Raw genomic sequence first — 7,360 nt, forward strand, 5'->3', positions numbered from 1 at the left:
AGCCTGATTTTCCCAAACCACACCACATAAAACCTTGTCTTATGTTTCACTGCAGAGGTCTCTCCACTCTTATGTTTGTTTTTTCCTTTTTCTGTTGACATGTAATTGAATCCTTTTCAGGCAACTTTCAGCATCTCACCATATTACTAAAAACCACCCCCTTTGAATGCTGTAAGGTGTTCTATCCACAGAGATGGAGGCATTTAGGCACCAGGTTCTTGGTGTCTCAATGTTACTGGACACAGAAGAGACTCAATAAAAATTTAGCAAGGAATGAATTTAATGTTTTGAGCCATAATGAATGCCAGAAAGAGACCCACAGAAAGGAAGTATGTCTGCTTCAGGCATATTTTATTTTATTATTATTTTTATTTTTTTGAGACATGGTCTCACTCTGTTGCCCAGGCTAGAGTACAGTGGCATGATCATGGCTCACTGCAGCTTCAACCTCCTCGGCTCAAGTGATCCTCCCACCTCAGCCTCCCAGGTAGCTGGGGATTCAGGCGCATGCCAACATGCCTGGCTAACTTTTTGTATGTTTTGTAGATGTGGGATTTTGCCATGTTTCACAGGCTGGTCTTGAACTCCTAGGCTCAAGCAATCCTTTTGCCTCAGACTTGCAAAATGCTGGGATTACAGGTGTGAGCCACTGCACTCAGCCAAGTCTTATTTTAAAGTGAGTGAGACTTAGTGTTTTTGGGGCCACAGAACCATTTCAGAATCTGAGGAAAGGGGCAGATATTTTCTCCCAGAAAGTGCACAATACATACAAAGTTGCTTATAATTTTAGGAGGTCCATTGGCCTAAGAATCTGTAGATTTTAGTTATAAATTTCTTTTTTTTTTCCCTCCAACATTTATTTTAAATTTATGGGTACATGTGCAAGATGTGCAGGTTTCTTACGTAGGTAAATGTGTACCATGGTGGTTTGCTGCACAGATCATCTCATCACCTAGGTATTATGCCCAGCATTTATCAGCTGCTTCTTCCTGATGTTCTCCCTCCTCTCAACTCCACCCTCTGACAGGCCCCAGTGTGTGTTGTTTCCCCCCATGTGTCCATGTGTTCTCATCTTTCAGCTCCCACTTATAAGTGAGAATGTGTGGTGTTTGGTTTTCTGTTCCTGTGTTAGTTCGCTGAGGATAATGGCTTCTATTTCCATCCATGTCCCTACAAAGGACATGATCTTGTTCCTTTTTATGGCTGCATAGTATTCCATGGTGTGTATGTACCATATTTTCTTTATCTAGTATATAATTGATGGGTATTTAGGTTAATTCTATGTCTTTGCTGTTGTGAATAGCGCTAAAATGAATATACACATGCATGGGTCTTTATAGTAGAAAGATTTGTATTCCTTTGGGTATATATCCAGTAATGGGATTGCTGGGTCAAAGGGTATTTCTGCCCCTAGATCTTTGAGGAATTGCCACGCTGTCTTCCACAATGGTTGAACTAATTTACACTCCCACCAACAGTGTAAATGTTTGTCTTTTTCTGTGCAATCTTGCCAGCATCTATTATTTTTTGATTTTTTACTAATAGCCATTCTGACTGGTGTGAGATGGTATTTCATTGTGGTTTTGATTTGCATTTCTCTAATGATCAGTGATGTGGAGCTTTTTTTTCATATGTTTGTTGGCCACATGCATGTCTTCTTTTGAGAAGTGTCTGTTCATGTCCTTTGCCTACTTTTTAATGGGTTGTTTGTTTTTTACTTGTAAATTTGTTTAAGTACCTTATAGATGCTGGATGTTAGACCTTTGTCAGATGGATAGATTGCAAAAATTTGTTCCCTTTCCATACGTTGTCTGTTTATTCTGATGATAGTTTCTTTCACTGTGCAGAGCTCTTTAGTTTAATTAGATCCCATTTGCAAATGTTTGCTTTTGTTGCAACTGCTTTTGGCATCTTTGTCATGAAATCATTGCCCGTGCCTATGTCCTTAATGGTATGCCTAGGTTGTCTTCTAGGTTTTTTTTTTTTTATAGTTTTGGGTTTTACATTTGAGACCTTAATCCATCTTCAGTTGATTTTTGTATATAATGTGAGGAAGGGGTCTGGTTTCAATTTTCTGCATATGGCTAGCCAGTTCTCCCAGCATCATTTACTATATAAGGAATCTTTCCCCATTGCTTGTTTTGGTTAGGTTTGTTGAAGATCAGATTGTTGTAGGTGTGCAGTCTTATTTACGGGCTGTCTATTCTGTTCCGTTGTTGTACGTGTCTGTTCTTGTACAAGTACCATGCTGTTTTGGTTTTTATAGCCTTGTAGTATAGTTTGAAGTTGGGTAGCATGATGCCTCCAGCTTTGTTCTTTTTGCTTAGAATTGTCTTAGCTGTTAAAGTTCTTTTTTGGTTCCATATGAATTTTAAAATAATTTTTTCTAATTCTGTGAAGAATATCAATGGTAGTTTAGTGGGAATAGCATTTAATCTATAAATTGCTTTGGGCAATATGGCCATTTTCACAATGTTGAGTCTTCCTATCTGTGAGCATGGAATGTTTTTCCATTTGTTTGTGTCATCTCTGATTTCTTTCAGGAATCATTTGTAGTTCTCCTTGAAGAGCTCCTTCACTTACTTTGTTATCTGTATTCCTAGGTATTATCTTCTTTGTGGCAATTGCAAATGGAAGTTCATTGATGATTTGGCTCTCTGCTTGACTGTTGTTGGTATATAGGAATCTTAGGGACTTTTGCACGTTTATTTTGTATCCTGAGTCTTTGATGAAGTGGCTTATCAGCTTAAGAAGCTTTTGGCCTGAGATGATGGGATTTTCTAGATATGGGATCATGTCATCTGCAAACAAAGATAATTTGACTTCCTCTCTTCATATTTGTATACCTTTATTTCTTTTTCTTGCCTGATTGCCCTGGCCAGAACTTCCAATACTATGTTGAATAGGAGTGGTGAAAGAGGGCATCCTTGTCTTGTGTGAGTTTTCAAGGGGAATGCTTCCAGCTTTTGCCCATTCAGTATGATATTGGCTGTGGGTTTGTCATAGGTAGCTCTTATTATTTTGAGGTATGTTCCTTCAATATCTAGTTTATTGACAGTTTTTAACATGAGGGGATGTTGAATTTTAGGTTACAAATTTCTATTAAAGCAGAATATTAAGTAATATAGAAAAATATTTGTAAGTATTGGGAAGTGACTTTTGGGGCTAATTTCTGTTCACACACCTCATCAGTTCTCCCTAGCCTACTGTCATGATTTAAATGAATTAAGCATTCTTTAAAACAGTCAATTAAAAAAAAAAGGATAAGGGCCCCATGTATTGGGCGGTCAGCAAAACAAAACAAAACAAACAAACAAACAAAAAACATGGAAAAGAATATTAATTCTTCCTCCTATGAAGTTCCACTCTTTATCCCAAGTTAGAAGATTCTTACCATATCCTGCCAGGTGCAGTGGCTCACGTAATTCCAGCACTTTGGGAGGCTGAGGTGGGCGGATCACAAGGTCAGGAGTTCAAGACCAGCCTGGCCAATATGGTGAAACCCCATCTCTACTAAAGATACAAAAAATTAGCTGGGCATGGTGGCATGCGCCTGTAATCCCAGCTACTCAGGAGGCTGAGGCAGGAGAATCGCTTGAACCCGGGAGGTGGAGGTTGCAGTGAGCCGAGATCAAGCCATTGCACTCCAGACTGGGCCACAGGGCAGTACTCCGTCTCAAAAAAAAAAAAAAAAAAAAAAAAAAAAAAATATATATATATATATATATATATATATATATATATATATATATATACATACATACATATAAATTTTAAAAAAAAGAGAAGAGTCTTACCATATCCATACCCTCAGGCTGGATATGACTGTCAAGATTGTTGACATTAACGACTCCCTTTTAACAAGATTTTATCATCTGAATCTGAATATTTGCATGATCTGTCACTCTGTGATTCTTTTTTATTTGTTTTTTTAAAGGTAAGATAAAATATTTTGTAGAGGAAAATCCCTTATAAGCCCACTGGCGTTGGTTTTACCCTTCCTCATTTAAATTAAAATTCAATCACCCTAATCAGCATTAAAAAAAACTTTTCTAGCATTATGCTTTGATAACTGTGTTTTCTGAGAACCAAGAAGGAAACACAAAATGATATGGAATAATAGGAACATAAGTTTAAAGCTAAAGGTATAGTAATCTATCCTGACACTATAGTTTCACAAATTTAAAAAACAGAGAAACAAAGGTAAATGTAACCTTTCTAAGATCTCTATAACTTGTCCAAGATCTCCATAACAGATTCTTTACTCTTTCTCCATTCAAAAATTATTCATTCACACTATTCACCACGTGTCATTGCAATTCCTCTCAATAGAGTAGGTATATTTTCCCATCGTATTGTTGTTGGGCTTGGCCATGTGACCTGCTCTGGCCAGTAAAATATTAGTAGAGACTTTAAGTGTGCTTGCATGATTTGGTTTAGCCTCTTGCACTTTTGCTCTTCAACCTTGAGAAGAAGATATTTCACGTAGCTTCTGGACTGAAAAGTTAATGATGATAACTCATATCTACTCAAAAAAGTAACGATGAGAACATGTGGAGCAGACCTAATCTGAACCTGGAGTTTGGAGTCCAGGCAAGCCCAGCCAAAAGCATTATCATGTCCAAGATCAGATGAGTAACAGGCAACATGCAGACCTAAAGAAGAAAAGAATTTGCTCTTTTAATCTCCTGAGATTTCAGGAGCTATTGCTATGCAATAGTAACACAGTGAAAAAGCTGACTACTCGTGTCTCATAAAATTAGCAATGATGAAATATTCTAACAATTTTTTCAAATGGTTGGATTGACTGCAATTTGGTTTACTTGCATATAACAGAAAAACTCAAACAATAGTGGCTAGTCAAAATTGAATTTTACTACTGTCTTAGAAAAAAGTCTAGGGTTAGGCAATTTAGATATAGTTTAGTGATCTAGGAGGAGAGTAGGCACTTTCTAGTGCATGGTTCTACCATCCCCAGGATATGGCCTTCCCTTAATGGCCCATGATTGCTAGTAGAACTTCTGCCATCCTATCCAAGATTCAGTAAGAATAAAGGAGAAAGAAAGCAAGCAATGATGCATCCTCTTCCTTTTAAGGAGGCTTCCTGAACATTCCACAGAGTCCCCACTGAATTTTATCGGCCAGAACTTAGTCTAAGTACTATACCAAGATGCAAAGAGCCTGTGAAATATGGTCTTTAGCTGGGTAGTAAAGCACTAAACAAAAATTATGGGGTTCTATTACCAAAAAGAAGGGGGAGAATATATACTTTGAAGCAACTGGCAGTTTCTACTGTAATGAACAAATAGTTGTTCTCCTATAGGAAGTAGGCAATATCTGAAGTATCCAACTCAGATGGATGACAATAAAAACATTAGTAAACTTTAGTGAAATAAATCATCAGAAGGGATGAGTGATAATCATGGATTTGATTATGCCATTTATTTGAAATTTGTTTTCTTGTTAATATGATGTTTTGTTATACATTATAAATGTTTGCAGTTCCATGCAGTAAATAGTACTGAGCACAACAATGTGAAAAGCATTGTGCTTGGAACTCTTAGAATCCAGATATGAATAAGACACAGTCCTAAGCTTCATGAAATTTAGCAGAACCATTGAGTTTACCAACTGTACTGGACATTTTTCTAACAAGCTGACAGCTTTCTACCTCAAGCATCTGGTCTGTTGGCTTTTTTTTTTTTTTTTTTCCTGAATGCTTTTTCCAGTGCTTCTGAAGCTTATCCAGCTCACTAGTAGAATAGATCCAAAACTTTCTGAGATTTGGTTCTTTTGGAGGAGGGCTATGGGGAGCATCCTGTGCACTGTAGGAGGTTTAGCAGCGACCCTGGCCTCTACCCACTAGATGTCAGTAGTACCCCCAGTTGTGACAAATGGAAATGTCTCTACACTTTGCTAAATTTCTCCCCATTGTTGGGGGGGGGGGGTGGCAAAATTGCTCCCAGTTGAGAATTTTAAGGGAATTCTACTAGTCGAGTTTTTATAATTTGAAAACCAAAATATAATTGGTAGTACCATTGTGGTTACTGAAGAGATTGAGTTTCTGAAAAGCCTTGACTTTATAATAATCGAAGTTTAAAAATTAATTGAAGTGTATAAAAAGCGGTCATTATACAAAATATTATGAATATAATGAGCTAAATTTTATTGATTTAAATAGAGAATATTGATGTATAGATACTTATCTATCTACTCTGAATGTAAGGCTACAGTGAAATAACTGAGACCAGATTTATGAGCCCATGATGTAAAACTAAAAACTGGATTAAATGTAAGAAAGGTATTTCAAGATCGGCATAACAGGAAGAGCAGAATTATTATCCCTGAGAGAAGGGAAACAAATAAAATGAGCCCTACGACTTAGACTTTCTGCCTAAAGACATATTCCACATGATGGTACCGGTAGGGGGACCCAAGTAAAGCACAGTGGTCTCTTGGAGCTGAGAAAACTTCCTCACATGATAAAGGGAACCTACGAAGATGGAACATTTCCTTATGCTCCTAAGATCAGGAACATGACAAGAATGTCTGCTCTCTCCATTTCTAGTCAACATTTACTGGAGTTACTAGCCTGTACATTAAGCATGAAAAAGAAATAAAAGTCATAGAGATTGCAAAGGAAGAAATAAAAAAATGCTATTTGCAGACAAAATGATCATGTACATAGAAAATCCTCAAATATATACAAAACATTACTTACTAATGAGTGGCTTTAGTAAGGTCCCCAGATGAAAGTTAGCATACAAAAATCAATTGCATTTCTATATATTGGTAACAAACAATTGGAAGTATGTTATAAAACATTCCAATTACAATAGTATCAACACATGACATTTTAAGAGATAAATATAACAAAGTATGTGCAACATCTGCTTCTGAAAACCAACAAACATCACAGAGACAAATTTTTAAAGACCCGAATAAATAGAGAAATATGCCATATTCATGAGTTTGAAGAGCCAATGCTGTTGACAGTTCCTCCCAAATTGATCTATAGATTGAAACTAATCCATATCAAATCCCAAAATGTTTTTTGTGAGCAATTGACAAGCTGATTATAAAATTTATATGGAAATGCAAAGGACAAAGCAATTCTGAAGAAGAGCCAAGTTAGAGAACATATACCACTCAACTCTAAGATTTATTATAAAGATAGATCAAACAAGAATGAGCTGTTGATGAAAGAATAAATAAATAAATAAATATATGGAACATAATAGAGAGTTCAGAAATAGCCCTACATATCTATGGTCAGTTGATTTTCAAGAATGGTAGAAAGTAATCCAATGGGGAGGACAGTCTTTTTAAAAATAGTACCAGAACAACTGGACACACATAG

This window comes from Homo sapiens, chromosome 4 (assembly GCF_000001405.40).
Source record: "Homo sapiens chromosome 4, GRCh38.p14 Primary Assembly".
Classification (NCBI taxonomy): domain Eukaryota; kingdom Metazoa; phylum Chordata; class Mammalia; order Primates; family Hominidae; genus Homo; species Homo sapiens.